Source organism: Homo sapiens, chromosome 2 (assembly GCF_000001405.40).
Source record: "Homo sapiens chromosome 2, GRCh38.p14 Primary Assembly".
NCBI lineage: Eukaryota > Metazoa > Chordata > Mammalia > Primates > Hominidae > Homo > Homo sapiens.
Window position 1 is genome coordinate 74,872,241 of NC_000002.12, and position 21,761 is coordinate 74,894,001.

General features: G+C 47.7%; 1 protein-coding gene across 7 annotated transcripts in view; it reads left to right on the forward strand.

Moving 5' to 3' along the window:
• Nucleotides 1-21,119, forward strand: part of HK2 (hexokinase 2) — a 59,233-nt gene extending 38,114 nt beyond the window's left edge. For 3 of the 7 annotated variants that reach the window (XM_005264280.3, XM_047444084.1, XM_047444085.1), the window contains exons 4-18: nucleotides 60-179; nucleotides 1,036-1,131; nucleotides 1,604-1,703; nucleotides 2,026-2,209; nucleotides 4,926-5,081; nucleotides 6,448-6,681; nucleotides 8,025-8,329; nucleotides 9,471-9,619; nucleotides 9,880-10,062; nucleotides 13,254-13,349; nucleotides 14,054-14,153; nucleotides 14,250-14,433; nucleotides 15,663-15,818; nucleotides 17,005-17,238; nucleotides 18,557-21,119. In XM_005264280.3, coding sequence (XP_005264337.1) covers nucleotides 60-179; nucleotides 1,036-1,131; nucleotides 1,604-1,703; nucleotides 2,026-2,209; nucleotides 4,926-5,081; nucleotides 6,448-6,681; nucleotides 8,025-8,329; nucleotides 9,471-9,619; nucleotides 9,880-10,062; nucleotides 13,254-13,349; nucleotides 14,054-14,153; nucleotides 14,250-14,433; nucleotides 15,663-15,818; nucleotides 17,005-17,238; nucleotides 18,557-18,701 — 2,442 coding nt within the window. In that variant the 3' untranslated portion in view covers nucleotides 18,702-21,119. The remainder of the gene's footprint in view (nucleotides 1-59; nucleotides 180-1,035; nucleotides 1,132-1,603; nucleotides 1,704-2,025; nucleotides 2,210-4,925; nucleotides 5,082-6,447; nucleotides 6,682-8,024; nucleotides 8,330-9,470; nucleotides 9,620-9,879; nucleotides 10,063-13,253; nucleotides 13,350-14,053; nucleotides 14,154-14,249; nucleotides 14,434-15,662; nucleotides 15,819-17,004; nucleotides 17,239-18,556) is intronic. The other 4 variants (NM_000189.5, NM_001371525.1, XM_011532807.3 and 1 more) reach the window with 3 other exon arrangements.
• The last annotated feature ends 642 nt before the right edge of the window (nucleotides 21,120-21,761 follow it).

Consider the following 21,761-nt stretch of genomic DNA (forward strand, 5'->3'; position numbering starts at 1 on the left):
CCCTTAATCTCTATGCTGTTCGACCTCTCTGCTCACCACCCTGTGTCATGTATCCTTAGCTGTTTGACCACATTGCCGAATGCCTGGCTAACTTCATGGATAAGCTACAAATCAAAGACAAGAAGCTCCCACTGGGTTTTACCTTCTCGTTCCCCTGCCACCAGACTAAACTAGACGAGGTAAGATGGGCTCCTCAGACACTTGTTGCTTCACTCTTGGGGCTGGGAGGGCTGAGAGGGACTTCTGAGCCACCTGCTGTGGTGGTGGTGGTAGCACTGGAGGATTGTGGAGATGAAGTTCTGCCTTTCTGGGTGACTGTGTATGTCGATGGGGGGGCTGGTGAAGAAATCTGGGGGGTTGGGAGTGCCCTTTATCACCCTCTCTCCCACACACATTGCACAGTATCCTTATCCCCTCCACAGAAACAGGAATGAGAAATCAGGAACTCCCCAGTCTAAAGTGTTATGATAAAGACCCTTGGAAGAAAGATACTTGGAGAGTTAATGATGTAAGGACACAAGTACAGTCATGTATTGCATAACAATGGGGATATGTTCTGAGAAATGCTTTATTAGGTGATTTCACTTATGTATAAACATCATAGAGTGCACTTACACAAACCTAGATGGTATAGACTACTACACACCTAGGCTGTATGGGACAGCCTGTTAACTCCTAGGCCACAAATCTGTATAGCATGTTACTGTACTGAATGCTATAGGCAATTGTAACACAGTGATATCTGTGTATCTAACTAGGCAATAGGAACTTTTCAGCTCTATTATAATCTTGTTACCACCGCAGTATACACAATCTGTCACTGACTGAAACATTGTTATGCGGCACATGACTGTGTCTTATAGTGCCAGTTGTCCTGAGTTTCTTTTTCCTAGGCTAGCCAGGAAGTAACACACAAATTCAATCATGACTTTACCCCAGTGGCAGAGGTCTCTGCTAATGACGGAGGTTTGAGGGGTGTGGTGTGAGTTTCAGTTTTAGTGGGAAATCAATATTCACTTCTTGGTCCCTTTCCAGAGTTTCCTGGTCTCATGGACCAAGGGATTCAAGTCCAGTGGAGTGGAAGGCAGAGACGTTGTGGCTCTGATCCGGAAGGCCATCCAGAGGAGAGGGGTGAGTGGGGTGGCAGGAGCTTGGGGTCTGTGGGCTTTTCTGGGTCCACCCTGAAGACTCCCTGAGTGTCCTTGACTCATCATTGTTTGCTTACGTGGAGCTTAAGGAGAGTTCTCTTTTCCCTGACACATGTACTCAATAATTTTGTATGCGATCTGCTGCTTTGGGGGTTTTTAGATTATCAAATGGATAAATAATCTTAGCCTTGGCACAAGAAAAGCTCTTTAGTTCTTAACCTGAAGAAGACTTGAATGTGATTTCCAAGTAAGAAAGTTGGAATGATGTTGACATGGGAGTGGAATGGCTCAGAGAGAGAATGAATTAAAAGTCTTATCACAGGAGGAGTTATGGGGAGGGAGGGGGGAGAGAGAGAGAAGGAGGAGGAGGAGGAGGAGGAGTGATATATAGCTGGTGTTAGGAAAGTCGCCCTCTGTGATGATGAAGGTCAGAGCCCTCCCATTTGTCTCCACAGGACTTTGATATCGACATTGTGGCTGTGGTGAATGACACAGTTGGGACCATGATGACCTGTGGTTATGATGACCACAACTGTGAGATTGGTCTCATTGTGGGTGAGTGAACACCGTGCATGAAGGGCCCGTGCTGGCCAAGGGATGGGGGTGTGGGCTGGAAAGGGAGAAGGGGCCCATGGGCTGGGTGTTCCTTTGTAGTTCATATTAGAAGATAATGGTCCAGTCACTTTGGAGAGCCGAGCAGGGACTCATGGAGTTGGGGGTGGCAGAAGATTAGACCATGTATTGTGATGCCCCCAGAGTCTGCAGTGAGAAATCCCAGCCATCCTGGCCGGGCAGTCTCGGGACAGTAGTATAAGAGGGAAGAGGGGTGGGAAGGGGCCGGAGCAGGCGTGTGCATAGCCGTCCCTTGTTTTGGCAGGCACGGGCAGCAACGCCTGCTACATGGAAGAGATGCGCCACATCGACATGGTGGAAGGCGATGAGGGGCGGATGTGTATCAATATGGAGTGGGGGGCCTTCGGGGACGATGGCTCGCTCAACGACATTCGCACTGAGTTTGACCAGGAGATTGACATGGGCTCACTGAACCCGGGAAAGCAACTGTGAGTAGGCCCTTCCTGTGCGAGTGGGCTTGGCGGGGGCCTGGAGCTGAGTCTGGGGCTGGTCGGGGCCAGGGGGTTGTTTCTTTACAGTCTTACATCCCCAAAGCTTGCCAAGGTGGCCACTGGTCATAGGAATGTCTGTGACTATAAATTGCTGAGAGGATCTAAAACAGAGAGCAAGCGGATATACCAGATTATAGCTAATAATGTGTTTCCTTCACAGGAGTCATTTTGGAAGGTTCTATTCTGAGTGTAAGTGGGTGGCCCTGCTCTTTCTTTCCACCTTCTATTTGTAAATTGTCCATGGGAACTGTGAGCCACCTAAGGAAAGTTGTGTTGAGGTGGCCAAGATTGGGGTCTCTGAAAGCTCCTTTCATAGCTCCAACTCCATCACCACCCAGAGGACAGGCTGACAGCTGGCTGCTCATTGCTGCTCCCTGGGGTCCCAGGGCCTCCTGCTGCAGCTGCAGGCAGACCCATGGCCCCTGGAGACATTGGCTGAGGAGCTTCCTTGGCCTCCTTCACTTGGACCTTGGCCCAACTATGTCCTGGGATGGATTGGAGGAGGGGCGTCTAGCATTTTGGATCCTGAATATTGTATTCTCCAGCCTGGCCTGCCTTTGTTTTTAGTTGCTTTTATCTCTTACAAAACCTTATTTCACCCTCACAAACATTTGCCAAATGTGCGTGTGAAAGATCTTGAAACAGGGATTGCTTCAAGGTCTGAAGCAGTTGCAAAATATTTTGAGCAATACAGATCATCTCTGGTCTTGTGACTGTTGTAGAAAAGCTTTTCGTGCAGATCTCTACTTGGACAGGAAAATTGAACCCTATAAATCAAGTCAGTGGTGGGTAACCCAGGAGAGTCCTTGCTTTCGTTTTTTTTTTTTTTTTTTTGAGACAGAGTCTCTCTCTGTTGCCCAGGCTGGTGTGCAATGGCGCAATCTTGGCTCACCGCAATCTCTGCCTCCCGGGTTCAAGCGATTCTCCTACCTCAGCTTCCTGAGTAGCTGGGATTACAGGCGCCTGCCACCACGCCCAGCTAATTTTTGTATTTTTATTAGAGACAGGGTTTCACCATGCTGGCCAGACTGGTCTCGAACTCCCGACCTCAGGCGGTCCGCCCTCCTCGGCCTCCCAAAGTGCTGGGATTACAGGCGTGAGCCACCGCGCCCGGCCTGAGAGTCCTTGCTTTGTCAAAGCATGGTTTATTTATCTAAGTCACAAGCTTGTTTCACATGTTGAAATGAGTCCTTTACTTGAAATTTCTGAGGATCATACTGGTTGTGTCTGCCATGGCTGATGAGAGGTTTATGAGCTGAAAAGTCACTCAGTGCCTGCCTCCATGAATGAGGCACACCCAAGTCATTCCGAGGAACTAAAGGCCCTTTCAAATGTCAAAAGACAAATTTGCCAGCCAGACCATGACAGCACACCCCCGGCTTATCCTTTGACACCCACCAAATTGTCATCCATGGTAGCCCTGAAGTCACTACAGACAATTTTTGTCCCCTCTAATATATTTCCAAGTAAGTATCTTCCAAATGTTGACTGGAACAAAGTGTTTTTAAAAACTAGAATAAAAACTTAGCAACACGGAGTTCCTTACTGTTGAAGCCAGGCTCCCATCCACGCTGGTTTCCTTCTCCTGAAGCTCTGCCTGTGTGGGTGCACTAACATTTAAAATGCGCGCTGTCATCTTCACAATTTTGCCAGCTCTCAGTTAGCCCTGATGCTGCTGTACTCGGCCTTGGGTCTTGAGCAGGCTGCTTCCTGGAGGCCTGGGTTTCCTCTCGGAAAGGTAACCTTGGAATCCCTTCCACATCTCAGTCCTGGGCCTCCTCCTCGCTGGGGCTCATCCTAGTTAGTGGCAGCAGGCCCATGTGCCTCCTCTAAGACACAGGTTCTTTCTCAAACACCCAGAAATGGGCCTTTTGTCAAAAAGAATTATCACCAGGGCTTGGTTTCCTCTCAGTTCTAGTCAGAAAGACCAATTATGAAAGAAAACAGTGCCACCTAGTGTTAAAATTAAATCACCGGACCGCACTGCTGGTTTGGGGGCCGTCCCCTGCCTTTCTAAAACATCTTGTCACCTGCCTGCTTAGAAGCCTGTTTCACTCCCAGACCCCTGAGACCTGTCATTTAGAGCTCGGAGCCCAGTGCAGATTCCTCTATCCCAACCTGCCTTTATAATGTTGCCCCATCATCCCCTGCCCCAGGTGGTTTTCACACCATTTTCTCTGGAGCCCATGAACGGCTTGCAGGGGTGGACAGTATGAGCTGATGAGTTTCTAGGCCTGTGCTACATATCTAATCAGATCGCCTTTTTTCTCTTGTAAATAAATATTGGGCTATGTAAGATATTAATTTTAAAAATGATTTCCTGGCTAGAGAAGAATTTTAAAGATTACCACCCTACGCATAACTTTACCTAAAATACAGGCTGTTCCAGAATGTTCCATACTCCCTGTGTGTTTCATTTGGCTGCTTAAGTTTCATTTATTCTTCTCCATAGGTCAAGGCCCATCAGCCTGCAGGGACAACCCAAGCCAGCCCCTCTGAGCCGTCACCTCTCCACGTATCTTACTCCTGGGCCGTGCTGCACACATTAACCCTTAGTTGTGAAGTTGCACGTGTGCGCATCTTGCTTCAACAGGGAAGCTATGAGTACATGGGCAGTGGGGACTTTATGTTTTTGGTTTGTGTCTTCCGGCAGGTTTGAGAAGATGATCAGTGGGATGTACATGGGGGAGCTGGTGAGGCTTATCCTGGTGAAGATGGCCAAGGAGGAGCTGCTCTTTGGGGGGAAGCTCAGCCCAGAGCTTCTCAACACCGGTCGCTTTGAGACCAAAGACATCTCAGACATTGAAGGGTGAGCTTCTGGCCAGCCCCCTCTATTTGCTGGATCACCACACGAGTTGACGGGTAGTTGGGGAATGAGGAGGGGGCTGTACCTTTTGACTCTTCAAGTATAGACTGCAAGAGGGTCTCACATGACGTGGACCATGGCGGGCCTGTGGCTTCACTTCACTTACCAGTCTCCACTCTTGTCGATTTCGATTGTGATTGCTACCAGTGACTCATGGTACTGGGAACGGTGGTTGGCCTCCATATGCAGGGACTTGGGCTGTTGCACTGGGTTTAAAGCTGGAGGACCCCAGAGGGCCCCCGAAAGACTTAGCTGCATCTGCCTCCTTTTCCTTCTCCTGAAGCTCTGACATCTGATTCCCTATTGGCAATTCTCAAAAAGGACTCTGTCATGACCCCTGCTTCATAATAGAAAGCTAGGTCTTTGAATTGGCCAGAGATATAGCTACCCAATTAATTCTAATAAGCAGAGCTGGGGCCTGCATTTTCACAGCCCAGCAGGGGCAAGAGTGAGGATGGCTTGATTTTTGTTGTTGTTAACAATATCCCAAGAGTCAGGCGGGCCTCGTTTACTGTTCTTGAGATTTCCACTTGTAGATTGAAGAAGTCCTGGTGTTTCAGGGACCAGATGGTGGAGAGGAGGTGTCTTTGGAGCCAAATGGAGCAGTGGAACAGTGCCAATGACTTTGTTTTAAGGGGAAACTCTTGAAGGAATGGGGCCTACTTGTTGCTATACCCCAAGGTGATGCAAGTACCCCAAGGTGATGCAAGATTTAGTTCCCTTGAGAAGGGTGCTAAGGTTATAGCACTAGCCCCTTACCAACCATCTTTAGACACAAGCTAAAGCAGTGCCAAGTCCATGGTGAAATGCAATAGACTCCTACTGCTTTAGAGAGAGAAACCAGGTGGGCATCACCGCAGGGTTCACATGTTGAGAGTGGCTGACAGCAGAGACACTGTCTGTCTCCCCTAACACAAGCAGATGTAACACAAACTCTCACACACACAACTTGGTGGTAAAGCACCAAGAACAGGGCCTTGTTTTTACATAGCACATGCATAAGAAATACTTGTGTTTCTCAACTCCGTGTGTCTCTGTGTGTGTGTGTGTGTGTGTGTGTGCGCACGCACATGCGTGTGCGTGTGTGTGTGGTGTCTGGGAGAGGAGCCTCAGGGTGGCTGTGCTATATTTTGCACCCCCTTCCTCCTCCTCCTGCCCCTGCACAGGTGGACTAAGCAATGAAGAGGGATTCTGTCCCCACTGGGTGGTGAATTTGCTGGAACTAAAGGGCTTCCTTGCCACCCCCCGACACACACACTGGCCACAGTGGGTCAGACACAGGCCCACATGCTATCTTTCTGTTTCCCAGGGAGAAGGATGGCATCCGGAAGGCCCGTGAGGTCCTGATGCGGTTGGGCCTGGACCCGACTCAGGAGGACTGCGTGGCCACTCACCGGATCTGCCAGATCGTGTCCACACGCTCCGCCAGCCTGTGCGCAGCCACCCTGGCCGCCGTGCTGCAGCGCATCAAGGAGAACAAAGGCGAGGAGCGGCTGCGCTCTACTATTGGGGTCGACGGTTCCGTCTACAAGAAACACCCCCAGTGAGTCAGTGTGCAGGGCCTGGAGATGCGGAGTTCCTGGAGTACCTGGGGCTGAGTGACTCCTCATGCCAGCTCCATTTTGCATTTCAGGGGTGGTGTGGAGGGACCATAGAGCTGAGGGTCTTGGTGGAATGAAAGTTCCCACCTGGGCAAGGGGGAATGGGAGGAAGTCATATCTGGTGTGGGTGGAGGTGATTTCTGAAGGCTACTGATGACTCGGGCTCTCCGCAGAGCTCCTCTGGCTGCTGGACACTCTCTTTGCCACCCTCTTGTATGCGTTATTGTTCCTGTCTTTACTCTTAGAATTCTTGGTGATTCCTGCAGGTGCTATGTCCTCTGCCAGGGACCACCCCAGCCCAGTGAGGGTTACCAGCTTCTCTGGCTGACCTTGGTATTAAATTGATCCTGCCCTGTCCACATTTTGATCCCTCAGGTCATAGGTACCAGAATATTCACATGTCAGCTGAGACCTGGAAGATGTCTCTTTATTGTGCCTACTTATTTCCCCATCATTTTCACCTAATAAGAATGCCAGGTCAATGTGCCTTTGTTTTCTTAACTTGTCGGTGCAGGAGGCCTCAGCCCTGAGATTCCCTCTTCCTACCCAGTGTTGCAAAAACTCGAGTGTGCACGTGAATCACATGGGGATCTTGCTAAGAGGCAGATTCTGATCAGAAGGTCTGGGGTGAGTCTGAGATCCCGCATCTCTAACAGCCCCCAGTAGGCTGCAGCCTACTCCTGCACTTGGAGTAGGAAGGCCCTGGAGACCATGGCTCCAAGTGGCCACTACCCAGAGAGTTCCTGGCTGAACACGTTGTCTTTAGCTGTGCAGACACCTTTGGGATCATTGGCAGAAACTGGCAAAAGAGAGGCTAAAGTCCAGAAGAGCATCTCTAGCTTTTAATTTTGGGTCTTTCCCAGACAGCAGCTAGTGAAATGAGTGATAGAACAAGACAGATAGGTGGCATCAGAACCACCTAATACCACAGGGCTGCTCCAGCAAAGAGGCTGATGGTACCATGTTGGGCAAGGGAGCAGTGGCCAGGGGGCCTTCTTCAGTGAGGAAGAGGAGGTCTTGTGTGGCTGCATGTAGGGGACAGTGGCTTATTAAAAGGTCTTTTCCTTTCATTGGCGGGGGTGAACCAATCCTGGGTGGTCATAGTTGATATGGTTCTTGTAGTGGTTCCTAACTTGGGACAGTGGAGAGAGGATGTTTAGGGCAGCACCCACTCCTGCAGGTGCCTTTTGGCATTTGGATTAAGGCGGTGGGCAACTGTCTAACTATTTGCACCATTGACCCTAACCATGGACACCTGTCTCTTACCCGCCCTGGGGAACTGCAGTTTTGCCAAGCGTCTACATAAGACCGTGCGGCGGCTGGTGCCCGGCTGCGATGTCCGCTTCCTCCGCTCCGAGGATGGCAGTGGCAAAGGTGCAGCCATGGTGACAGCAGTGGCTTACCGGCTGGCCGATCAACACCGTGCCCGCCAGAAGACATTAGAGCATCTGCAGCTGAGCCATGACCAGCTGCTGGAGGTCAAGAGGAGGATGAAGGTAGAAATGGAGCGAGGTCTGAGCAAGGAGACTCATGCCAGTGCCCCCGTCAAGATGCTGCCCACCTACGTGTGTGCTACCCCGGACGGCACAGGTACACGGCAGGGTTGCCACCTGGCTCACATGGTGGGCCTTTGTCCTGGTGTTGATACCCTGGGAGGGATCCCTTAGCATTAGCATTGGACATTTGAACCAGAACACGTTTCTTCAGCCGTATTACTAGGGAGTTCTAGTCTTTGATAAACTCAAACAAGGTGCTCCTCTGCAAACAGTAGTAATGGTCAACACTTATTGAATGCTTACTGTGTGTCAAAGCACTTTATGTGTATGAGCTCATTTAATCTTTGTTAACTGTTAAAAAATATTAGCAGTTAATTTTATGTATTCACCTATGTTTGACAGAAAACTGAGGCGCAGAGAAGTTAAGACACCTGCCTAAATTCACACAACTAGAAAATGTCGGAGCTGGGATTCAAACCCAGGAATTCAGGTTCTAGAATCTGCTCTTGCAATCACCACATTGGTCTGAGTCAGGGTTGGCAAACTATGGCCCATGGGCTGAATCTGGCCCACCACCTGTTTTTGTACATAAGGTTTTATTACACAGCCATGCCCATGCGTCTGCACGTTGCTTATGGTTGTTTTGCACTGTCTTGGCAAAGTTGAGTGGTGGCAGCAAAGACTGCATGACCCACAGGGCCTAAAACGTTTGCTGTCTGGGCCTTTACAGAAAAAGATTTCTGACCCCTGCTGTAAGTCTTGTAACCTCAGAAATGGTGGTCTTATTCCAATTCAGAGAAGACAGTCGATGAGCAGGCCAGTGTAGCACAGTTGTTACAGGTTCCAGAGACAGACTGGGATTTGGTCCCTGCTCTACCCTGTCCTGGTCGTATGGCCCCGGGCAAGTGATTTAACTATCAGCCAGATCCCAATCATCCTTAAGAGAGGAATGCAGTGTCTCCCTCACAGGGCTGCCTAAGGGTTGAACGAGGACTGTGTGTGAAGCATGTGGCACACTGTAATTGTCCAACAAGGGAGGGTTTTCTCAGTTTAAAAGATTTCCCTTCAGCTTCCTTCAGGGAGCTGGACTCTTCTGTTCCTTCTGTATTCTAGAATGTAATATAAAGTGGCATTTGATGGAACAGGAATGGTGTATTTGGATCGTTTTAAGTGTACTGTCTCCACATTCCCCATGTTCTGCCCCAACTTATCACTTCCCTGGGCTTATTTTCCAGAGAAAGGGGACTTCTTGGCCTTGGACCTTGGAGGAACAAATTTCCGGGTCCTGCTGGTCCGTGTTCGGAATGGGAAGTGGGGTGGAGTGGAGATGCACAACAAGATCTACGCCATCCCGCAGGAGGTCATGCACGGCACCGGGGACGAGGTGAGCAGGGCGGCGCCTTCAGGAGGGGGCCCCTGGTGGACGTCACCTCTTGCCTTCGAGGACAGTGCTTTCTCTGCTCATCTGTGACCCTGGGGAGGGCTAGCTGGACCCAGGGCTGCAGCCTGGTCTTGACTCAGGTTTGTGCCTGAGCCTGCATTTCTTCTGGGTGGAAAGAAACATTGATGTTGTGCGCAGGCCCTACTGGGGGCAGCCTGCCCTGCCCAGGGCCCCTCCCTCAGTGTCCTAACTTCTCCCTGCAGCTCTTTGACCACATTGTCCAGTGCATCGCGGACTTCCTCGAGTACATGGGCATGAAGGGCGTGTCCCTGCCTCTGGGTTTTACCTTCTCCTTCCCCTGCCAGCAGAACAGCCTGGACGAGGTAACAGCACCTTCCTGGAGGGCTCTCCTGTGGGCTTTATTGACTCTAAACAAAACCAGCCAGGTATGGAGCAGGGGAGAAAGTTGAGCTAAGACTAAGGAAAGGAGGGCGTGAGTTACCAGTAGTGGGGAGGGGCTCCTTGATGGGAATGAGTAAGTTGAGGCTGGTGGAGGTTAAGTAGGTTAGCTCAGCTGTGACAGCCTTTGGGACAACGATGATGATGCTACTCAATGTTAACAACTGCCGGGTGTGGTGACTCATACCTGTAATCTCAGCACTTTGGGAGGCTGAGGCAGGAGGATTACTTGAGGCCAGGATTTCAAGACTAGCCTAGGCAACATAGGAAGACCCCATCTCTATTGAACTTATATATATATATATAGCATTTTTAAGCACTTACTGTGTGCCAGGTACTATGTTAGGTTTCTTACCTGCATTATCTCGTTTAACCCTCACAGCAACCATATAAGAGATATGTTTGAATACCCATTCTACAGAAAGGAAGATAAGCCCCACAGAGGTGCTGGGTGTCTTGCTCCAGGTCATAATAGCTTGGGACTGGCCAAGCCAAGATTTGGATTCTGGGTTCCTGATGCCTGAGCCTGTGCTGTCAGTTATGCTGTGGGGCTCCTGAGGCCCTTGTTATGGGCTCAGGGCATTTTCATGCCATATCCTGTTGTTTGGATGCCCTGGCTCTTCTCTGGTCTCATCTTGCTTCTCACTCCTCTTCAGGTTACCTTGGGTGAATGAAGTAGGTGCATGAGGATCTGGCACTCCCAGATGTTCTGGACATGAGTGCCCCGAGAAGTGGAGGAGAACTGAGTAGGCAGTGCTGGATCTGCTGATGACTGGTAGCCCTAAGCATTAGGTATCTGGAGACTGTTTTTAAGCAGTTGTGTCTCTGTCTCAGTCATGTAGGAGTGCACGTGCACGCTGCCGGTGTGTGGTATGTTGCACATGCCACTGCTAGGTATAAAAGGCATGGCTCCTACCTTTAGATGCTTACAAACAAGCTGGGCTGATGAAGCAAGCTCAGAAAAGGAAGAGCTGCTGTTTGGAATGTGGCCCTCGTGGGATGGATACTGAAGCCCCCAGGACAGGTAGTGAGACAGATGTTAATCCGAGTGCATACCTGGGGGATGTCAGGAGGACTTGGAACAAGTCAGAAGAATGAGTTGATGGGAAAGAAAGGTGAGCAGGCTGCCCATTGTGGAGAGGGTCATGTAGGTGGGAGCAAGTGACAGAAAGAGCTGGGCCAGCGCAGAAGAGCCTACCCTAGTGACAAGGAAAGAGCAGCATTTCCCACAGGGTCCCTGCAACAGTGGCCCTCACCTTGGCTTCACTGAGTTTTGTAGATGCCTCCTTCTCCTCCTTATCTGAGAGAATTCCCCATGTGCACTAGTATAATTAAGGTTTTAGGAAGTTCTGCAATAAAAACTCAGCTTAGTCTGGCATTTCTCAACACCTATTAACATTCATGTAGTGTTAACCAGACTAGCGTTGCTTTATGCCTCATGTGGACAAATTCTTATGTACTATTTAATGGACCATTACTTATTATAACAAAGATATTAGAAACAAACTTGCTGAATAGTGAGATAGTAGTTAAATAAATTATGACCCACTTATTAGCTAGTATCAGCCACTAGTTATTTGTAATAAATTTTAATCACATGAAAAATTACTGGTGATATGACTAAAAAGTTTTAAAACTACTTTTCTTTAGAAATGGTAATCTCTTTATAAAAAAACATAAAATACAATTAATGGGATGATAAAAGCATAACCCTCCAGTGTATATCCTTCTTCTAGACTTCCTACCAAAATATTTTCAAGTAGATACTATCTTAACTTTTCATGCCAACAGGTTATATATTTATTTATATATTTGCCAGGGAAACCAGAATGTGTGTTAACTGTTTCTGTCTGAATTGTGAGATTCCAGGCCATTGGATTAGGTTTTATTCTGTGTTCCAGGTTTCTCTGAGGAGCACGTGTTAGGTCTAGAGCCGTAAAAATTAAGAGCAAATAAAGCAGAAGTCATTTCTTCCTGTGGGCTCTGGCAAGACCCTCCTGTGATGGGGAAATCCCACCAGTGCAGAGGCCCCTGGGGTTAGAGACCCCAGGGCTCTGTGGCCCCCAGCTGTGTTTCCCAGCTGTTGGGCCTCCACTTGCCTCATCAGTAAGGATCACCTGAAATTATGTTATTTGAACATCCCGTAAACACAAACTTGCGTCAAACATGTGAAGCTAACTTGTAGAGAGCTGGGTGGAGATCAGCACACACTGGTCAGCCAGCTCTCTGAGGGTATGTGCTTTGTTTTTCTGAATCTCCTGGGGTCTGAACACAGTGTGACACCTCCAGGTTGATGTGAATGAAATGCCAAGCTGATGGGCATGAATCCCTGAGCAAGGCCTGGAGAAATCATGCAAGTGGGTGGGTTATGAGCACACAGCTCATTTATGGAAGCCGAGCTCTTGGGTAAGGAGTCTGAAGCCCTGAGGCTTGTTTCCTGGTGGGCTGTGGCAGCAGAGAGGGCATCAGGGAATAAAACCCAAAGCATTTCTCCCAGGTTCAAAGCCGTCAAGCATCTGCTCCCAGAGGACCACATTGAAGGCAAGGGGCCACTGAGGATGCTGAGGAGGAGCCTGGAGTTGTTTTCCTCACTGAAAGACATGGGGTGGTGGTGAAGCCTAGCTGTCACCCAGCTGTGGGCAAAGCACTTGTTCGCCAGATGCTGGAGTTTGAAAATTAGGAGACATACACTGACCCTTCTGATGTAAAGGATAGGGACAGAGCAAACTGCTTTGCCCAGTGAGCGAACCAAGCACATAGGAAGAAGTTGCACAGCAGGGTCAGCTGCGTGGTGCTTATGAGCCCATTCACTGGGGTCGGAGGGCCTCGGAGTGCATCCTGCTTCTCTCTTCCAAGCTGTAGGCCTTGAGCAAGTCACTCCAGAGCCTCAGTTTCTTATAAAGTGGCCATAAACATGATAGATGTTCCACAAGGGTGCTGTGAGGGTTAAATAATGTAATGCATGATCTATGCTTAGCCCAGTACCTGCTACACAGTAGGTGCTCAATAAATCCAAGTAAGTACCTTAGGAACAGTTTAATTTGCGGGTGAGATGATTGGTGACTCTGGGGGATCCGTCTGACCTGTGAGGTTGAGAGCTAGAAGCACAGCTGGACCCCCAGAACTGACCTGGGAGCTCTTCCCTGATGTCCTTTCCATGCTTGTGTGTGATTTTTAGAGCATCCTCCTCAAGTGGACAAAAGGCTTCAAGGCATCTGGCTGCGAGGGCGAGGACGTGGTGACCCTGCTGAAGGAAGCGATCCACCGGCGAGAGGTAGGAGACACATGGCACGAGGTCTGATGTGTCAGCTCCTCAATGATTGGCCTGGTCTGTGTGTTCAGAAAGTGAAGGCAACAGTAAGTGTGGCTGCATGGGTTGGGAGGAAGATTAACTCAAGCGTCGTTCAGCAGTTTAGTGTGCACTGTGTGTCAAGCAATGCTCTCAGCACTGGCGGTTCAGGAGTGACCACAACAAAGCTTTGTTCTATAAAGTCCATGACCTAGTGGCAGGTGCTGTTAAGAGCTGTGAAACACACACACACACACACACACACACACACACACACACACAGTAAAGGAATAAAAGAATGGCCACTCCATAAGCAAAACAGCCATGAGGGCTGCTGGTTGCACATTTTTATGGTTATTTCTTGATTATATGCTAAACAAGGGGTGTATTATTCATGCCTTCCCTTTTTAGACCATATAGAGTTTAAAAAAAAAAAAGAAAGAAAAGGAGTGAAGTGGGGTGAGGAGAGCAGATGGAGCAAGTGTGCTGGAAAGGGGCACTGTTAAATAGCACAACTTGGGAGGGTCTCACCAAAGAGGTGACATTTAAGCACAGACCTGAATGGAATGAGAGGGTCAGCCATGGTGTATGATATATATTTTATATACCTGTAAATCTCCCATGCAATTGTCTGAAAGGAGAATATTGGGGTTCACCTGTGAACTGGGCATCTGCTTCTTCCCTCTCAGGAGTTTGACCTGGATGTGGTTGCTGTGGTGAACGACACAGTCGGAACTATGATGACCTGTGGCTTTGAAGACCCTCACTGTGAAGTTGGCCTCATTGTTGGTAAGGACCCAGACTGTCCTTTCCACATGGGGATGCACAGCCTTGGGTGTGGAGGGGTTGGTGCTGAGTGAGGCCCTGGTATCCTGTGATTGGCAGGCACGGGCAGCAATGCCTGCTACATGGAGGAGATGCGCAACGTGGAACTGGTGGAAGGAGAAGAGGGGCGGATGTGTGTGAACATGGAATGGGGGGCCTTCGGGGACAATGGATGCCTAGATGACTTCCGCACAGAATTTGATGTGGCTGTGGATGAGCTTTCACTCAACCCCGGCAAGCAGAGGTAGGCACCCAACTGGGGCCCTGTTAAGTGTATCCCAGGACTGGATGGCAACAAGTGATCAGAGCTTCCACAATGGCATCTCCCAGGACGCCGGTTCTCGTGAGATGTTAATAAAGGAGGTTTTCTTGGAAAGGGTTTCTTGTCGAATGCACCTGGAAAGTTCTGAGTTAGTAAATGTAAGAAGCATCTCCCACCCAAAAGCCTAGGAGAACAGGTGGGAGAATACTAGACCCTAGGTCTGGCACTCTAAGGAGAAACAAGTAGAAAGTTGAAGCACCTGCTGCTGACAGGCTGAAGAGCATCTCTTGGGTGATGCAGACAGGAGCAAATCCTCTCCCTCCTCCATCTTCCAGCGCCGAGCACCACCTACTGTCAGAATTGAGCAAGGGGCCAGCCCCAGTGTCACAAGGTCCTGTGCATGGTAGGGGAGCGGGGTCTGAGCTAAGAGACAATAGCTTAAGATCTAACACACTTCTCATTAAGATGTTGTCTGTAGTGTTTCCTAACTAGATTAATCAAACACCCTAGTCCTGCAGAATACGCTTTGCAAAACATGTGTCTAGAATAGAAGTTACAGACTAAAATGCCTCTAGGGGCCAGGCAGGCAACATTAATGAAGGAAGCAGGCTGGGTCAAGATAAGATGGGGTGGTGATGGGCTATTGGTTGAAACTAGGGACCTCGTTTTTTTTTCAAGGCAGGATTCAGGACCAAAAGACCCTCAAGCCACTGCATAATAACGTTTAGTTCCAGTGGCCAGGATGGGGGCCCTACAGCTGGCAGTAGTTACTTGAGTAATGATGGTTAGGTCCAAGAGAATGTATACTGAATGCCTAGTGAGGTTAAAGATTAAGACTCAGCATTCTCCCCTGCTCCGAGAAGTCCAGTGGGGTTATGGTGTGTTCCTTCTCGAGTTGCTTCTTGAAATTTCGAAATAAGCCTTGGAAAGGAAATGAGTTCCTTTCCCTGTGGGTTCCTTTCCAAGGCTTATTTCCCCAGGAGCCCCACGGGCCTCGGGCACTGTGGTCAGTGTTGCTGAAGGTTGTGAATTAGCATGCAAAGACACCAGGGATCCTGCCCAAGTGAATCAAGTAGCAATTCCTTTCCCATCAGGGGAGTCTGCCTGTCTGCCACTGCTGATGCACTGGGGGTGACTAAGCTGGCCTGTCCTGTCTCAACACATCCCTCCACCTTCCTACTTAACCTCCATGAATGTTACTTGCATTGCAGGTTCGAGAAAATGATCAGTGGAATGTACCTGGGTGAGATTGTCCGTAACATTCTCATCGATTTCACCAAGCGTGGACTACTCTTCCGAGGCCGCATCTCAGAGCGGCTCAAGACAAGGGGCATCTTTGAAACCAAGTTCTTGTCTCAGATTGAGAGGTGAGAGCTTAGGGCTCAGGGTAGCAGGGGGGCCATGTCCTTTTTTCTCACTGGCAGACAAACTGAAGGATTTCCATAACTCAGGGCATGACTCATACAAAAGTCAGTTTAGTGGCAAACACATTCATGTCTATAGTGTTTACTAAAAGCACATTATGGGCAGTTGTCATTTTAAGGGCAAACAGAGCATTCTCATGAAAGTTTGTGCTAAGCCTGGCCTGAGGTCATGCAAAGTGATATTGTTGGGTTTTAGACCATGTATCAAAGGTAGAAAGATACCTGCTCATAGCATGTAAATTGAAACGCACAGAGGAAGATAACCTATTAAAGCATCCACACTTGGCTTGAAAGCCCTTCCTAACTGCTGGCTGCAGTAATCAGGCAGCCAGGATTGAGTAAAGGTTGGAACGTCAGGCAATGCAGACACATGCCACACAGTGGCTCATTAGAGCAAAGCCTCCCTCCTACAGTCAAATGGTGGAAAATCTCCAAATTAGAACAGTGAATTTCAGAGCCCTTTAAAAATTAATGCTGTGCCATTACTCTCAGGGCAGAGAAGAACAGGAACTAGACAACTGATGTGAGTAGACCCCTCGGGCATCTGCACCAGTGAATAGAAAGATATATTCTAGCTTATAGGTCTGTTATGTTCAGCGAGGTGATTCCAGGCTTCTAAAATAGCTTTCTTTATATAGGAGGGTTTATTTTCTTTCTATAACTTTATTTACACTTCCTTCGTAAATAGCATATAAATACAGTTCAGACCACCCAGAGCAGCAGAGCAGAAATAAAGCACGAGTCTAATGCTGCTTGGTTAGTTCCTGCCCTGCAAACCCATGAACAGCAGCGAGAAAATGGACATGAAAGAGCTTTGTAACTGACCACTGTGATAAACAGTGAATTTGCTTTGTTTTGAGTATCTACTTTGTAGTAGTAATGGTCTATCTGGAGTAGGGAGAGTAGAATGAGGAGCTGTTTGTATTCCTGTCACCGTCAGGAAGAGTCAATGCAGTGCAGTAGGTTGAGCAGTGGTCTGAATTTAGGAATGGGAACCACCTCGAGGGGCCAGCTCCTGGAGAGCTAGACCCCCACAGAGCCTCCCCTGTAAGGACTCAGGCCCTGGTGTGGTAGGCTACCAGCCTTCTTGGTGCATGACTGAACACTTGCTGTCTCCCTCCCACCCCAGTGACTGCCTGGCCCTGCTGCAAGTCCGAGCCATCCTGCAACACTTAGGGCTTGAGAGCACCTGTGACGACAGCATCATTGTTAAGGAGGTGTGCACTGTGGTGGCCCGGCGGGCAGCCCAGCTCTGTGGCGCAGGCATGGCCGCTGTGGTGGACAGGATACGAGAAAACCGTGGGCTGGACGCTCTCAAAGTGACAGTGGGTGTGGATGGGACCCTCTACAAGCTACATCCTCAGTGAGTGCCTGATCCCAGCCCCCCCTGCCTACCTTCTTTCTGTCTTTGTTCTTTCCCTTTTCTTTCTCTCTTTCCTTTGTTACTTTATAGTGAATTATCAGCCATTCCAAATAGTGTATATAATACATGGATTATAGTTTAAAGATTCATAATCAGAAGTAGGCCTGTGTTTCACCCCCCACCGTGGGAAGCCCCCTCCGAGCCCCTCCACAACTGTGTCATCATTCTCCCATGCCAGGGGTAAGTGTTGTGCTGAATCAGTCCCTTGCTTTTCTTTTCCACCCCCATATATGTAGGTATGCATCCATATTGTTTAGTTTTACTTATTTTTGAACTTGCCACAAATAGAATCACATGGTATCTCTTCTGTGGCTGGCTTTTCTCACACAGTGTTTGTTTTGAGACGCATCCGCATTGAAGTATACAGTTGGTAGTTCATTAATTTTCAGAGCTGTATAGCGTACCTTTGAGTATGTTGTTTTTTCTATCGTTGAGGTGATATTTAGGTTACTTCTAGATTTTGACCATTACAAACAGTGCTACTGTGAACATTCTGGCAAATGTAATGCTAGAACTCTGGAGCAAGATTTTTTTTCAACATTCTAGAGCAGGGGTTGACAGGCAACAGCCACAGGCTGTTATTGTACATATAGTTTCATGAGGATTGGGAGGGGGCAGAAGCCCAGCCACCAACCCTGGGACATGGCATCCTCAGCTTTGTAGATGGGGAGGGTGTCCTGACCCTGCTGTATTGGGGCAGATCACAACTCTCTCTTTCTCTGGTCCATATAGGAAGGATCTGTGATCACTGTGATATCCTAGCAGTGACTCTGTAAGTCTGCTTCTTTTGCCTCCGATGACATTTTGGAGCACATGTGGCTCTGATATGAGGCTATGCGCCAGGAAAATAGAAAATCACATTCATGAGTCCTGGTCCTGGTCTCCCCCTCCAGAGTTGTGCTCCTCTGTTAGGCACACTTGTGGCTTCCATGGTTGTTGAACTTCTCTTTTACTGACTATTAGTTTTAAGAACACAGTTTGCCAGGATCTCAGACGTTTGTCCCAGAATTGAATCCTAGCTCTCCTAATGGCTGATATGATGTGGAAATTGGGCATAGTACTAGTGTCTCCAAGCCACGGTTTTCTGGTACTTAATAATATATAGTAAATGTTTAATACATTATAGCTGTCATCCTTCTCCTCTTCTTAATTATTTCTGTGTTTCCAGCATCGCTTCTTAGCTTTCATTTCTAAGTGCAAATACAAACCAATCATGACTAAGATGGTTTTTCCTGTGTCTTCCTCCCACCTTTTCCAGCTTTGCCAAAGTCATGCATGAGACAGTGAAGGACCTGGCTCCGAAATGTGATGTGTCTTTCCTGCAGTCAGAGGATGGCAGCGGGAAGGGGGCGGCGCTCATCACTGCTGTGGCCTGCCGCATCCGTGAGGCTGGACAGCGATAGAACCCCTGAAATCGGAAGGGACTTCCTCTTTCTCTCCTTCTTCCCTGTTTTAAATTATAAGATGTCATCCCCTTGTGTCAGAGACAGACCCCTTGGCTTTTGCTTGGCAGAGAGGACCCCACTGGACTGGGTTTTGTCTCTGCATCTCATTGTAGAGCTTGGTGGCTGAGCTTGGCCCTATTAAGATAAATAGAGTTCCAAATAAGGATTTGTTCACATGCATCATAACCATTCCCATTGGTTCTCCTAAAACATGAAAATTATCTCCCTTAGTAATCCCCCTTGCCAAATTCCATGTCCCTGTATAATTCTACAGGATGGGGACACTAATGAAGATACGGTTGCTTCACCTTGGAGCCTGAACATGACATTTCTAAGTGGGGTGCATCCCCCAGCACTGATGTTGTTACTGATTCTCCTGTCAGAGATCTGGGAGGTCTCCACTGAGGATGTGAGCCTGATTATCCTATAGGCAGACGTGGGGAGGGTGGAGGGGTGACAGTGGAGGAAAATCCATGGATATCCACGCAGCAGCCCCTCTTTAACCTCATCTACAAGCATTTGCCCTGTGGATTCCAGCATTTGCCATTCCTGGAATCAAGGAATCCTGAGTCTGGGCAATGAAACCAAAGCCAGGAGTTGACGCATCCTGCAGTTGGGCCAGCTGTCGCATCTCAGCGGGGCGCACATGTTATCCACAAGCAATGGACCTTTGGGGAAGGGGGAGTTTTTAGTTTGTTTTACAAATTTTTCCTGCAAAAGTGGAATCACTGTATTTTCATTTTAATTTATATTTGAAATTTTATTTAGTTCTTGAGTAGATCTGCTTCTTCATCTTGACATGTAATGAATGGTCAGTTGTACGTAATGTATTTATATGTTAATTTGTTATGTATATAGATGTGCAAGTCTTGTCAGAATTGGCCTCAGTGTAGTTAAAGGGCAGAAGGGGAAGATACTGACTAGTCATAGAAATACCTCATTCGCCTGTGGGAAGAGAAGGGAAGCCTCTTCAGGGTGAGTGAATGGCAAAGCGGTTGCTTCTGGCTCCTCCTTCCCCTGTGGTCTTGGAAGTGTGTGGAAGGCAGGGACAGAGATGGAGGCCGAGCCAATAGACTGAAGAGACCACAGCAATTGGCTCCTCCATCTAGAGATTTTCTTGGCAGTATTCCATGGGATGTTAAGCAAAGGAAACCAAAGGAATCGTTTCAAATGGACTCATGGCTTAGAAATCTTTATTCTTAGGGCAGTCAGTAGTATTCTAAAGCTTTCTGACAAGATAAAGGAAGTCACCAAAATTTCTTTTTTTAAATTGTATCTAATCCTCAACAACAAACCAAAACAGAACAATTAAACAGCCAAATAAAACCTCAGGGACAACATTTTTGGTGTATTTGAGCCCTCCCAGCAAGTTTCACCTTGGGTTTGTATTTTAAATGTTTTACAAGAATTGTCCATGTGCTTCCCTAGGCTGAGCTGGCATTGGTCTGCTGACCTGTTTTTGTGTTTTTCTTTTTTTTATACACAACATTTATTTCAAACTATTGGGAGGGATGAGAGTGGCTTAAAAACTTCCATCCCTACTTTTCAAGAGTGCAGTTGATTCTGAATCTGAAAGCCCGCCTCTGTCCTAAAATACAAACAAGCACAGACATTAAACCTGGATACTATATGATAAAGAGGGATGTAACTATTGAATTGGATACAAGGATCAGAATGGAAAGAAACTCACGATGAAATTGAACCTGGTTTTTGTATATTTATCAAACTTGTGCTGAGAATAGTGTCTGATTATACGACTTTTAAGCAAAGTTGGGTGTAATTAGGTGAAAACAGCCCAGGTCCTCCCGGGAGCACAGAGGGGCTAGGGGCTGGTCCTTCTCGTTTGCTCTAGTCTTGCTTTGCTGTCTGGTGTAGCTCCTCTGCTGCTCCCATCTGCACTAATTGACCCAAAACGTGGGTATTTCCTGCTACACAAAAGCCAAAAGGTTTCATGTAGATTTTAGTTCACTAAAGGGTGCCCACAAAATAGAGATTAATTTTAACTTAAATTTTAAGCTTGAAGATTAGGTACTATCTGTGAAGTTACACTTTTTTTTTTTTTTTTAAAGGTAGAGATGTGTGTGTGTGTAGGTATTAAAGATGTGTTGTTGGTTTCCAAAAAGGAACACTGGAAAATAAATTTTGAATGTTTATGTTCTCAGAATCAGGTTGACAGTCCCTTGCTGACATGGCTTTGCTTTGTGTAAATACAGTGGATCTCAATCTTCGGGGTGTGATGAATAGCGAATCATCTCAAATCCTTGAGCACTCAGTCTAGTGAAGATGTTGTCATTATGTACAATACATAACTAGTTTAATTAACTATGTGATGTTAACTATTATTAATAAATTTTAACATTTTCCAAAATAATCAAATGTGATTCATGAGTGTTTTTAAGAGAGTAGTCATCTTCCGGTCGTATCAGTACTTCCTGGCCAGCCCGATGAGTAATTTATGGGTGTCTTGATTTTGAGTGTGTGTGTTTGAGAGGCATGTGGCTTTTCCAGAAACTCAGTCCCAGTGGAATTAGAAGGCAGCTTTTCCTGGACTGCCTTGGACCCCTTAGATTTCAAGCCACTGAAGAGCTATGGCTAGTCCTGCGGTCTACTGTTTAAATAGCTTGGCTGAAATTAGCACCACCCTGAGGGCCTCTGGCTGGTCTTGGTTGGCAAATGTGATTCATATTCAGGATATATAGCTCTCGTGAACATCCAAAAAGCACTTGCCTCTGTCCTCTCCCTACCAAGCTTTTCCTTCTCCCCAGTAAGCAGAACACAGGTCTGGGGAGTAAATTCATCAAAAGTCCCTAGTGATACCCATTAACATTCACATGGCCCTGTTTGACAATAACCGAGGGAAGAAGATGACCATGGCTAAGAGGATAATGGAGATAGCCAATGGGTGAGGGAAAGTTTAAAATTAGACCCTATTTTTTCTGATATCAAACTGGTGAGATTATGGGAGCATTCTCCTACACTGTTGGTGGAAGTATGATTGGTATAGCCCTTATGTGGGGA